The sequence below is a fragment of the Homo sapiens genome, chromosome X (assembly GCF_000001405.40).
Source record: "Homo sapiens chromosome X, GRCh38.p14 Primary Assembly".
Taxonomy (NCBI): Eukaryota; Metazoa; Chordata; class Mammalia; order Primates; family Hominidae; genus Homo; species Homo sapiens.
Window position 1 is genome coordinate 153,587,420 of NC_000023.11, and position 12,809 is coordinate 153,600,228.

General features: G+C 56.2%; 1 protein-coding gene and 1 long non-coding RNA gene across 5 annotated transcripts, besides 3 other annotated features; one reads left to right on the forward strand and one right to left on the reverse strand.

Annotated features, from left to right (window-relative positions):
* CCNQ (cyclin Q) lies at window positions 506-11,720 on the reverse strand. Of its 4 annotated transcripts, none has more exons than NM_001130997.3 (5): window positions 11,543-11,720; window positions 8,585-8,768; window positions 7,128-7,260; window positions 5,087-5,314; window positions 506-975 (listed from the first exon to the last, which is right to left on the reverse strand). In NM_001130997.3, the coding sequence occupies exons 1-5, from the start codon at window positions 11,652-11,654 to the stop codon at window positions 946-948; spliced, it is 687 nt and encodes a 228-aa protein (NP_001124469.1). In that variant the 5' UTR covers window positions 11,655-11,720; the 3' UTR covers window positions 506-945. The 4 variants fall into 4 exon arrangements, with proteins under 4 accessions (NP_001124469.1, NP_689487.2, XP_011529516.1 ...); NM_152274.5 differs by having other exon boundaries at window positions 506-1,035; XM_011531214.3 differs by lacking the exon at window positions 11,543-11,720 and adding an exon at window positions 10,003-10,743 and having other exon boundaries at window positions 506-1,035.
* Window positions 11,431-11,790: a silencer, noted in NCBI's record as "silent region_21064". NCBI's record gives its function as "represses an Ori minimal core promoter by ATAC-STARR-seq in GM12878 lymphoblastoid cells {active_cell/tissue: GM12878}" and the evidence as "EXISTENCE:reporter gene assay evidence [ECO:0000049][PMID:35858748]".
* Window positions 11,801-11,850: a silencer, noted in NCBI's record as "silent region_21065". NCBI's record gives its function as "represses an Ori minimal core promoter by ATAC-STARR-seq in GM12878 lymphoblastoid cells {active_cell/tissue: GM12878}" and the evidence as "EXISTENCE:reporter gene assay evidence [ECO:0000049][PMID:35858748]".
* Window positions 11,921-12,474, forward strand: LOC105373383 (uncharacterized). The gene has a single exon (NR_131982.1). It is a non-coding gene; the product is annotated as an uncharacterized LOC105373383 (long non-coding RNA).
* Window positions 11,951-12,090: a silencer, noted in NCBI's record as "silent region_21066". NCBI's record gives its function as "represses an Ori minimal core promoter by ATAC-STARR-seq in GM12878 lymphoblastoid cells {active_cell/tissue: GM12878}" and the evidence as "EXISTENCE:reporter gene assay evidence [ECO:0000049][PMID:35858748]".

The following is a 12,809-nucleotide window of genomic DNA, read 5'->3' on the forward strand; positions in this document are numbered from 1 at the left end:
CAGATACTTCATTCTGAAGACACTGAACATAGTCGCTCTGTAAAGTCAAGCAAGACTCTGCCCTGACCTGCATCACCCCTGCCCCCACACCTGCAGGAGCCGGAGCCCACCCTCCTGTGTAAACCTACCAGTCCCCCGGCCCTACGCCACGTGCTGAACGTACGTCTAGCCTGAAAGGGGACCTAGAGAGCGCCTCCTGGACTGGTCTATTTCTTACCCACTGGCTTTTGAGCAAGGAGTCAGAGGGGTGCTGGGGGCCACAGCTCTGAGTTTCTCCAGCCTCCCCATCCAGACTGGCTACCTTGACATTTAAAAACGCATTACTTTTAGTTACGTTCGATCAGGACTCACTTTTCTGAATGCAAGTGATCCTCCCTAACCCCAGGCCTGCCGCCTGATGGCTGGGACACACTCTACCTGAGAGCACTCTGAGGGAACCAGTCTCTGAGGGCCCCTCACACCCCCATGTGCAGCATGCGCTGCAGAGCAAAGCCAAGGGTCCCTATTGACTTGTATCACCTTTTATTACACAAAATAGATTTCAGCCACGTTGCACATTCATTCTCCCTACAAATCTGGCTTTTAAGAAATCCGTAGGGATTCAGTCTCATCGATTTCATGACTTTCCTTTCATTGATGTCATGCCTGTATTGTAGTCAAAGTCCTCTCAAAGGACAAACGCAGATGTGGCTGCCTTGGGTCAGCTGCACACAGTACACTCCCGGCCTGCCCGCTGGAGGCGCGGCTCCCACCATCACCTGCACCGCGACTTCTAGGGACTGGCAAAGCGGCAGCATGCCATTGCCTTCTCCAGCCCTTCTCCAGCAGCACAACCAGTCCTCCCAGCTGGTCCTGTGGGGACCAGCCGTCATGGCGACGTGGTGACAATGTCCCCAGGCAGCCGACCATCCTGGGCTTCTCTTTGGGCAGGCCTGGGCCAGGACCTTAGGGGATCTCTGTGTCCATGGTATAAATCTGAATGAGATCAGACACAATATTATCAATGATTGGCTTGGTAAGGTCGTCATTAAACACCTAGAAAGAAGAAGGAAAACAGGTTCCAGTTAGACTCCCTCTATGTTAAACAAGGCACCTGTCACTAAGCAGAGAATCACATTTCATGGGCAGGGGAGGGGCACAGGGACTTGGCTATGTAGGAAGACAGTAGCTCTCCTGCAAAGCCAGTTTAATTCCAGCCCGTTGAGGCCAAACACTTTACAAGGCCGAGAACATTCCAGATGGAACAGGCCTTGGTGATCTTCTGACTCAGAGAGGAGGGGACCTGTCCAACGTCATACAGGGAATTGGTAACACAGCTGGGTCCAGAGCACAGGCTCCTGCCTCCTGCCCGGGACTCCCTCAGGTCCAGGGTCTCTGCGGACACTGGCAAGAGGAGAGGGTGGCAGTCCCTGTGCAGCCACAGGCAGGCTAAGTACCCGGACCCCACGCCTACCCTAACCCAGCCCCTGGGGAGCATGTGGACCCACTCCACAGTCCGGACCGCCACGTGCAGGAGCACTCGCAAGACGGCGAAGGACATCCTCGGGGCCCATGGCAGGAGGGTTGCAGCCCAGGGCCACGCCACAGGCTGGGGTCCACACCCTGTACCTTCCAAAGGCAGGTCTGGCCTCTGCCTGGCTCCTGGAGGATAACCTCTAGGCCCCTAGAAAATCCTGCCCCGTGTGAGCGTCTTGGTTTACTGGACTGCCAGGCGGTCTGTGCTAACCACATCATTTATGGTGAGGGCCTTGGGCCACAGAGTCCCAGCCAGATCTCTGGTGGCTGCAGCCCAAGTGACCAGGGTTGGCCACGCAGGCGCTCCATGCCCATGCAGCCCACCACCTCCCACGGAAACCCTGGCCGCCATGGCTGGGATGAGCTTCCCGGTTGTGACTCCGTGCTCGCTGTCCCACACTGTTGCCGAAAGAAACAGGTGCCGTCTGCACAACTCCCCTGGGCGAGGAGCCGCTGAAGCTCACGCCTGGTCTCTCCTGGAGCCCGCCCTGTGCGCCCTGAGCCTTCGCTCACGGTAACCTGTGTCCTTTCCTTGTAATAAACCGGAACTGGGAGTGTGACAGCTTTTCTGAGTTCCGAGCCCTCCCGGCACAGCACTGAGCCCCAGGGTGCTCTTCGGGATCCCCAATGATAAGGGAAATAGTAAGTAAAGCAGCAAGACCTTGGTCAGATGCTGCGTCTGTAGCCACCCTGTGCCAGAGCTTGCTGCCTGGGGAACCAATGTACCAATCAGATCAAGGCCTTGGGCCAAGTCAAGGCAAGAACTGGACCTACGTCCACCCCTGCTGAATGCTCCCAAAGAACCCTAGGTTCCTCTGTGGCCTACAACCTCAGGTAGGAGATGGTGACCTGGACGCCCTCCAAGTCCTGACTCAGGAAGCATAGCTGTCTTACCCTGGGCTCTGGGTGAAAAACAAATACTTCAGAAATGCACACTTGCTTGCTGGGGTCCATGACCTGTGTGCTCCTGGAGACCCCAAGCTCAGAAGCAATCATTAAAAAACATTCAGGGGCTGGGCATAGTGGCTCACGCTTGTAATCCCAGCACTTTGGGAGGCCGAGGCGGGTGGATCACTGGAGGTCACGAGTTCAAGATCAGCCTGGCCAACATGGTGAAACCCCGTCTCTACTAAAAATACAAAAATTAGCCAGGTGTGGTGGCAGGCACTTGTAATCCCAGTTACTTAGGAGACTGAGGCAGGACAATCACTTGAACCAAGGAGGTGGAGGCTGTAGTAAGCTGAGATTGCGCCACTGTACTCCAGCCTGGGCAATAGAGTGAGACTCTGTCTCTATTAAAAAAAAAAAAAAAAAAAAAAAAAAGCAAGGCCAAAACGTGGAAGCAGCCTGCATCCATCGATGGATGAATATGTTAATATCATATGGTCCATGCAGGCCATGAAATATGATTCAGCCATCAAAAGAAAGGACATTCTGAGACGGGGGCTCCAACATTGTGCTCAGCAAAAGAAGCCAGTCACAGAAAGGCCCGCACTGTAGGATTCCACTCCTGTGAGGGGCCTCAAAGGAGAGCCGTGAACTCTGTAGAGGACAGTGGAAGGTTGGGTGCCAGGAGCTTGGGGGTGGGGAGTTGGGGTTGAACGGGGCCAGAGCTTCAGTTTGGGAAGATGAACAATTTCTGCGGCTGGATGGTGGTGATGGCTGCACAGCACCGTGAATGTGCTTCCGTCCCTGGGCCGCACACTTAAAAATGGTGAACGTGGTACAATTTAGGTGATGTCTATGTCACCACAATTAAATGTAACAGTCCAGAACAGGTGGCAACCCTGGGGCACCTGACAGCAGAAGAGACACAGACCCAAGTCCTAGGAGGAGACACTGCTGGCCTCTGGGGACTCTGCCTTTTTGAGGGCAGTCCATCTGCTTATAAGACAAAAAGCAGCAGTGGCTGGAAAGAGGCAGGTTCTCCTTCTGCTCAGGAACAAGGGGATGGAGGGCACTCGGTGTGGCTCTGGACGTGGAAGTTTCAGCAGCATTGCGTGACGACCTGCATCATTTCTGACCCCGCTACTGTCCCTGCTCATCTGGCAAGTCAGAGTGCAGGCAGGCTTCTCCAGGGAAGCACATCAAGCTGCCATGCTGAGCCCGTGGCAGATAAGTGACAGGAGTCACCGTAAGAAGTGGCAGCCGAGAGCACACAAGGAAGAAAGGGTTTCAAAAGCCAGGCCGTGAGCTCTGCAGCACCCGGGTGGGTGAGGCCTCCCAGGATCTCACTCATCATGGGGGATCAGGCCCTCGCACCCCGCCAGCCCACAGGAGGCACCTGGATTCCGGAAGCTTCTGGTGCACAGCCCCGAGCTGGGAGGCAAAGGTCAGGTCAAGTTTAGCAGAGCCTTTAAGAAGAGCTGGCTGAACAGAAGTTCCACACCCCACAAAGGGTAACTTCTTCCCAGTCTGAACGATGACTGGGTGAGTCTGGGCCGCCAGCAAACAACTTGCTGGTAGAGCTGCTTCCTGGCTGTGCAGGGTTACCTGGGCTCGCACTCCTCTGGGAGGGGCTGAGCATGGGACGCAGGTGGTACTGCCACACCAGGTGAGGTTTACGAGCAAGCGCAGAAGACAGAGCAGAAAGGAAGACAGATGCAGCATAGCCAGGCAGCCCAGGGCCAGGGCCACACCCACCAGATGTCCCCAGAGGGTGTTTGCCCCCCCCAGAGTCCAACCCTGAGCACGAGGCAGCCACATTATGTGAAAGTCCCTGAGCAGCCCGAGCGTGGGGCAACACTGTCTACACAGATGGCCCTGCACCACCTGCACACTGCCTTGGGGACAGGGTGCTTCCGGCTTGAGACTGGGAACATGGGTGCATGGGTTCAAAGACACATGAGCACCCGCTTTGGTGCCAGGGAGGCGCGGGAGACTGGGGAAGAGATGCCCAGCCTCAGGCACTCACAGCTGACTGGGGATACGAGATTACACAATAAACACGCAAAAATCAGCAAATGCTGTGGTCTTCCACAAGGCACACGGGCCAGGGAAGAGAGGCAGGGCTACCTCTATGCAGAACAGCACCAGCCACCTGGAAAGCTGTCCTATGCACAGGCCTACAGAGTTCCACCATCTACCCTCCATGATCTACCTATTAATACCTATCAATCACCCGCCACCCTGCCCATCAGCTCTCTCCCCTATCCATCCAGGTGTCTGTCAACTAGCCAGCTAGCTGTCACCTACCTAGCCATCCAGCCCTCTCCATAAAGCACCCCAGATGTTTCTGATGGGAAGCCAGGTTTAGTAACCTGTGATCACAGTCAAGTTCCCACTCAATTCAGTAAAAGCGGTTCTCCGCTGGGGCAACCCTCCTCCCGGGACACCGGCGACGTCGGTGGAGGCCAGCACTCCTGTTCGACATCCGGGACCCCTAAATGGCAACTGTGCCGAGGGGGAGAGCCTGTCCCAGGCCATCGCAACAGGGTACTTTCGAGCTTCCATGTTCCCCAGCAGCCCGTATCTTTCTTCATGGATAATTAATAGAATTTGGTGAGCACTGCAATACAGAGACTTCCAGAGGGAAAGGGGGCACGTCCAGTGTGCCAAGCAGCCACCTCACCTGCCACCACGGCTTCTCAGCCTCGACCTCGGCGGGCACCTCAACTCCGTAGACCTGCAGGGCCAGGTAGAGCACCGCCACGGCGATGTGCTGGGCCTGGAAGCGGAGGCACAGCGCCCCATGGTAGCTGTCCCGCAGCAGGGCCCAGGCGGTGACGGCAACAGGGGTCCGCTGCCAGCTGTGGCGGTTCAGCCAGTTCTGGAGGGAAACCAGGTAGTGGAGCAGGTACTGCAAAGACACGTGTGTCAGCCTTTAGGCCCACCAGCTGCTCTCCTCATGCTGACATAATCATATCAGCACCTGCTCCAACCCTCCAGCAGCTTCCATGTCCCTCAGGAAGAAGCCCCAAGGCCTTCTGCTGGCCCCATCTCCTGCCGATCCCACCCTGCCTTCCAGCAAACCCCATCTAGGGCCTTCGCACTTGCTGAGCCCTCTGCCTGAAACCAGCTCACCGTATGCACCTGCCCACTCTCACCCTCCAGACCCAGCTCTAGGGAAACCTACGAGGGCCACCCCCACCACAGTCCCTCTCCACCACAGGGCCCGCTCTGGCCACCATGAAATTCCTCGGGGCCTGGTGCTCCGGAAAGCACCCTCTTCATGGGCAGAACAGAAGGTGCTGCTCCCCATGCATCTGGCCTGCTGCCAAGGGCACATGCTGTCCTCGGCCACAACATCCAAATGACCTCCCAGCCCAGCTGCCAGCTCCTGCTCTCAGAACACTGACATTTTGCCAGAACCTCACACAATAAGACAGATGCTGCGAGCTCTCTGGACAGTCTGGAACACACATGCGTGTGACCCCAGCACACCATGCAGGAGGGATACATAGGTTACTTTCCACCCCAGCCCTGACTGGAAGGAGGGGAAGGGGCTGGCAGGCTCCCAGCCACACCAAGCTATCAGTTCCCCATCTGGGCACAGATCACACACCCCTTGAGGTCTGAGTGCTGCTCTTTCCTAAGCCCTGTCGCCTTGACAACTCCACCCTGCAGCCACCAGGGCATCTCCCACCTTCCCCCAGGATGCTCAGCAAGCATTCTGCCCACTAAGACACTACTGCGCAGAAATCCCAGACCAGGGCTTTCCAGGTACTGAGGTGGGAGTGTGGAAGGCTGGAGGCAAGATTATAAAGGCAACACGAAGGGCCCATGCGGGTGGAACCGTCTCTCACCTTGGCTGTGGTGGTAGGTCCGTGAACGGAGTCGTGATAAAATGGAACAGAAAAATATACACACAGGAATACAAGTGGAAGTGAGGATGCCAGTGGACTGTGTTGGTTTTGGCATCCTGGCTGTGTTACCCCTGGGGGAGACTGGGCTAAGGGTACATGTCACAACTGCATGGGAATCTACAATGATCTCAGGAAGAGTTCCGATGAAAAAGAATGAAACTCCTAGCCCAGAGCCCCAAACCACAACTCCTCCATCTCTGTCTCCGGCCAGCCTTCTGAGCTGCCCGTGCATGGAGCTGCGGTGCCCAGAGCATCGTGTGCCAGTCGCCTAAGCGTTCCACTTTTCCCTTTTACTGCTGTTTGAAATGGTTCTTCTGTTGAGACTCACACATTCCTAGAAGTTAAAGCATGCTGCTTGACTCAAGCGATTTGGCTTTCCCCATGGCTTCCTAAGCACAGCTGAGCTGGAGGCGTGCTCCGAGGCATCACAGCATCCCCTGGGGACGGGGACTCTGGCCGGTCACAAAACCAGCCTGCTTCCCCGAGGCCCAGCGTGCACACCATCTATATGGACCACAGGAGCTGCCACAGCTTCAGCGGGCAGCACGGACCCCGCCCACAGGTGAGCAGGCAGAAAGGCAGAAGCTGAAATGAGAATTGGCTGAGAAAACCCACAGGGGTGGGACGGGAGAGGCCGGGCGGCCAACCCAGCCACAAACACAGAGCCAGGAGACCCAGTTCCCAGCCGCAGCCCTGCTCTCCTTCTGTGCTGTGCTCTCGAGTATGAGATGGGATGCACTTTTGGGATAAAGAACAGAGACCATGGCTTGAGCCTCTCCAAACAGGCACCAGTTCCCCAGTATGTACCTTGTGTGGATGCTGGAAGGAGACCTGGAAGCGCAGAACTCTCAGCATGAGAAGCTCACACTGCACGATGCTGTCCCGGAGTTCCCAGAAGCGGGAGTCCAATTCCAGGGGCTCACCGCTTGGGTTAAAGTACCTGCGCAGAGAAATGGCAATGCTTCAGCAGCCAGGGCAGTCTCCTGAGCACTGGATGGCTCAAATTGCTTAAGTCACACAATGTCCAGATGCAAACTACATCGTCCATCTGCAGATTCATGGAGGGTCATTTTATTTGGGTTTTTATACAAAAATTCTTCATCTCCACATCTAGTGTAGAGAATGAAAACAGTAACCAACAGAGGAAAGAAGCCAGCTCCTAGTTTTAGCCAGATGGGCTGTCCGCTATCATTCAGCAAAATGTCAAGTGCAAAGACTGGCTGTTGGCGATGGCTCCAGAGGAACCGGAAGCTTGAGCATGCCAAGTCGGTTGTGCTTCCTGTTATACTCAGCCCGGCATTAGGGAGTCTTCATCACCTGAGGTGGCAATGCCCGGGGCTCTCACTCTGGGCCCAAGGAACGTATTTTTTTAACTTATTTTTACTTTTTACTTTTTGAGACAGGGTCTTGCTCTGCCTTTCAGGCTGGAGTACAGTGGTGCAGCCACAGCTCACTGCAGCCTTGACCTCCTGGGCTCAAGCGATCCTCCCGCCTCAGCTACCCGAGCAGCTGGAACCACAGGCATGCGCCACCACGCCCGGCTAATTTTTGTATTTTTGGTAGAGACGAGGTTTCACCATGTTGACCAGGCTGGTCTTGAACTCCTGGGCTCAAGCGATCCACCCGCCTCGGCCTCCCAAAGTGCTGGGATCACAGGCGTGAGCCACCACGTCCAGCCATCCAAGGAACATGTTTAAGCCTCTCATGGGAATGATATACTCCAAAAAGTGAACATTTCTCAGTTTTGTATTTCCCAGACCGTCTTTCCCTCGCCTTGGCGAAGACCCTGCATTCTGCCCCAGCAGGAACACACCTGCTTGGGCCGGCTGTGCCATGCCCACGCCACACCCACAGCAGGGCGAGGCTCCTAAGCAACTGGGACCTACCACCTGGCTGGGTCTGCACCCTCCCGCTGCAGGCAAGCTCTTCTGCCTGCAGCCATCCCTGTCTAAGACTTCCACAGAATCTTCTTTGACATGCCTCTCCAAGCTCCCTCTGCTGAAGCCCCGCCTCTGCCCTCCATCCAGCTTTCGAGGCTCCCCATAATCTGGCCCAGCGTTTCTCTCACAGACCCCACTGGCCTCTGACATCAGGCTCCTTCTCACGTTTGCTGCTACTGTTTCTGGCCCTGCCTGGTTCAAGGCCATCCAGGTACTTCCTTCCAAGCTCCATTGCTGGCACCTGGTGGGCAGGGCCCCATAGGAGCCTTCCCTGCCCGTCCCCCCCACCGGGTGGAGATCAGGAGCCCAGCCAAATGCCATTACCTGTTGGACACATTGATGATGTCACGAGTCCGCAGGTGCTGCTCTTCCACTTTGCCGGCCAAGTAAATTGAAGACATGGCAATCAGGTAAGGGTCATAGGCGTCCAGGTTGGTCTCGCAAAAGAACTTATGGTAAATGGTGCAAGCAGTGGCAATGGGAATGGACCGCATCCCTAGCTTGACACCTGCGGAGAGAAAGCAGGCAAGAGAGGACTTCAATCCAGCGCTGGCTCACTGCTCCAGTGAGGGGAGCCATTGGAATGGGCCCTAGCAGGTACAACCCTACTTGGACAAGGCTAAGAACTTCCAGCAGAGCCAGTGGCTCCTGCTGGGTCTCTTACTGGGCTCTCAGACTCTAGTGGGTGACCCAAGCCCCTGGGGATGGTGTTCAAATGCAGACTTCCCCTTTTGTAGGTCTGCGGCTCTGAGATTCTCCACTTCTGACAAGCCCCAGGTCATGCCCATGTCAGGGGTCTATAGACCACGCTCTGGGAAACAAGGGTTCCGAGGACCGCTCAGTTAGCAACTGGCATAGCAGCTTCTGCAAAACCCTGGAAAAGGACTATATGCTGTTGTGTGTCTGGGTTCACCTTAGCAAACAGCTAGCTAGAAGTCGCCCACCCCACAGCTACGACGACAGAAAAGAAACGGCCTCGTGGGTGCCACAAGTCCTGAAGTCACAGTGAAAGATTACACTGAGCACTGGTTTCGTAGTCCACAGGTTAGAAGAGGTGAGCAAAGCAAGCAGCGTGACTGCCAAGAGTAACCACTTGCATTGCAGAGAAAAGGCAATGTTTATGGCCACAGCCAGGCACCAGGGAAGGACACCAGCACATTGAAAAGTGGGCTGGGCATGCTGGTTTACGCCTGTAATCCCAGCACTTTGGGAGGCTGAGGCAGAAGGATTGCTTGAGCCCAGGAATTCGAGACCAGCCTAGGCAACAGAGTGAGACCCTGTCTCTACAAAAAAGAGAAAGAAAAAAATTTTTAAGGTGAACAAAACTCAAAACACCAGAGCAGGATTCAGTGGATTCTACTTAGGGGTTAAAGCCCATCCCCAGCCCATCCCTGAATGGCTCCTAAGAAAATCACTGCCCTGGTGCACAGAACCAAAACAAATTCACAACCACCAGGGTTCACAAGACAAGGTTAAATGACATCCACTAGGCCAAAACAGAAAGGCGAAGAACAACCGACAATCAACCATGAAATGACAGTCAGCATCCTCTGCCTAAGAAGGTAGATCAGTTCCCTAGGGCTACTGCAACAAATCACCACAAATTCAGCCACTTAAACAACACACATTTATACTCCTCCGATCCTGGAAGTCAGAAGTCCAAAACTAGCCTAGAAAGCTAAGATCAACGTCTAAGCAGGGCTGGCTCCTTCTGGAGGCTCCATGGGAGAATGTTTCCTTGCCTTTTCCAGCTTCTAGAGGAGGGCTGCATTCCTTGGTTGCTGGCCCCTTCCTCCATCTTCAAAGCTTCTAACTCTGCTTCTGTCCTCACGTGGCCTTCTCTGACGGTGACTCCTCCTGCCTTTGCCTTATAAGGATGGGTGTGGTTACACCCAGATAATCTAGGATGATCTCCCATCTTAAGGTCTCTAATCACATCTTCAAAATCTCTTTTGCTATATAAGATGACATTCACAGGTTCCAGGGATTAGGATAGGGACATCTTTGGGAAATCAATATTTAGCCTCCTACAAAGGACAAAGGATTGTGTAATACATTTTATAAAGAAGTCCCTCAGAAGGTCTAAACTTGTTATATAAAGACAATTCCTACCTGGGACCCCTCATTCCAGGAGATGCCAGATAAGGTGCTGTTACTGACATGACCTTCCAAGCTTTGTTTTACAGAGCAAACCCCAATTTACACGGACCCTCCGAGCAGACGGTAGCAGATGAGGTGTCACTGCCATCCTTCCCTAATAATAACTTTGCAACTCTTCTTGCAAATTACAGTAAATTTACATATCACTGGGATGAACAGTCCTGCAGCAGTCCTCAGACTCTCCGCCCACCTTGGGTAGAAAGCACATCTGCCCAACCCTTCTCCCCCAAGCAGTAAAGGTAGGAAATAACTACCCGCCAACTAACAGTATCTCCTATCAAGATACTGTTGATGGGCCGGACGAGGTAGCTCACGCCTGTAATCCCAGCACTTTGGGAGGGCGAGGCAACTGGATCACCTGAGGCCAGGAGTTCAAGACCAGCCTGGCCAACATGGTGAAACCCCGTCTCTACTAAAAATACAAACATTAGCCGGGTACGGTGGCACACACCTGTAATTCCAGCTACTCGGAAGCGTGAGGAAGGATAATTGCTTTAGTCCGGGAGACGGAGGTTGCAGTGAGCCGAGATCACGCCACTGCACTCCAGCCTGGCCAACAGAGCGAGACTCCGTCTCGAAAAAAAAAAAAATACTGTTGATGGCTGGATGGAAACGATGTTTCTACAGAGATCTTAGCTTAATCACCTCGCCTGGGAAGCGCGGAGCCCAACACTACTGTGGATGTCCTGGCAGGGTTCGGAACAGGAGCTGCAAGCAGCCTAGGTCCCCGGAGTGACAGGAACCCTCGGACAGCGTTCTCCAAAAGGCTCCGCGCGACTAAGCGCCATAAAGTCTACCGGAGTGCAGGGCCGCGGGTGCCGGCAGAAGGCGTGGCGCACTGCGCAGAGCTGCGGGCGCCCGGGCCGGTCTCCGCCTCGCTGGAGGCCCAACCCGGCCACGTCCTCTCCTAGGGCCTGCACACCGGTCCACGCCATGGGGATACCTCGCGGCTCACTGCTCAGCACACCGGGCGCGGCGCAAAGGCGGAGGTCCTCAGCCCCGAGCAGGGCTTCCCGGCCTCTGCTACGGTGAGCACTCCAGAAGGCCGGCCTGGCCAGCCGGGCCCGCTCCGCGAAGCGGGCCGCGGCGCCGCCTGTCCTGGCCTCCCCCGGCCGCGGTTACCTGCCTCCATGATGAACCTCGCCACTCGGAAGTGCACCCTGGCTTCGGGCGCCGGCTGCCCCTCCGGGCCCCGCGCTGCAGGCCCCCCTCCGCCGCCCTCCGGGGCTTCCATGAGGCGCCGCGGCACCGGCGGAAGGAGAGGCGGCCCCGGCGCGCAGAAGCCGGCAGAACTGGAGGTGCTCGCGGCGGGCGCTGCCGCCCCACCCGGCCGCGTCCGGCCCCGCCCCGCCCCGCCCCTCGCCGCCCCGCCCCGCCCCTCGCCGCCCCGCCCCGCCCCTCGCCGCCCCGCCGCTCCTCCGCCCCGCCCCGCCCCTCAGGGCCCTCGCCCAAGGGTGAGCGCGCGCTTGCGCCACAGACGCTGCCTGGCCGCGCGCGCAGGCGCAGGCGCAGGCGCAGAGGCCGACACCACGGGGCGGCTGGTATGTGTCCACCGGCCCCTAGGCGCCTCGAGCCCCGCCCCTGGGAGACGCAGGCTCCTCCCCGCGGAGCGAGAGCCCGCGGAGCTGCTCCGAGACCCGCGGGAGGGCACCTCCGGTCACCCGAGCCGCAAATCCCCGCCGTCCGAAGGGGGTGTCGCCCCGGGCTGTCGGCCCAGCGTGGCTTAGGCCAGGTACAACCGGCAGCGCCCGCCAAGCCCTGGGCTAGGGACGCCTGCGGGAGTTCACGGGGAGGCGCCGGTGTCTGAGGTCTGAGAAGACAGCGGCCACCGGAAAAGGTGCTAATGTTTGCAGACCCCGATCCATCGACACCCCAAGGAAATGCTGTGCACAAAATTCCAAGAGGGCCTTTTCGAATAGACGCATGAACGGTGTTTGTGTCTGGATCGTCCAGCCTCCCGGGATCGATTGGGAATCTAGCTTCTGCTTGCCTTTCCAGCGCGACGCACAGTAGGAGCCTAATAAATGTTTGCTGAATGAATGCTGAATATCGAACTCAGGTATTTACCATCTCATTTTTCATTCGCGTCTTCCACAAGCAGGAAATGGTGCATCAGGCTTTAGGGACATAGAACCCCAAAGGTACTCACTCCCAAGTTAGTGACAGTCACTGGAGTCATTCTGATACATTCAGATCATTGCTACAATTTCAGACAGCTGGCAATATGGAGAGGAAAAAGCTACTGCTCCCTAAACCCTTCTGCCCAGGCGCCTTGATCTCCTGATGGTGTGGAAGTCTCCACCTCTTACCCCCACCCCACACACCCAGTCCGGCCTCATTCTCCTTCCTCAGCACTTCCTGCCTCCACCAGCCTCCCCAAGTCCTCTCT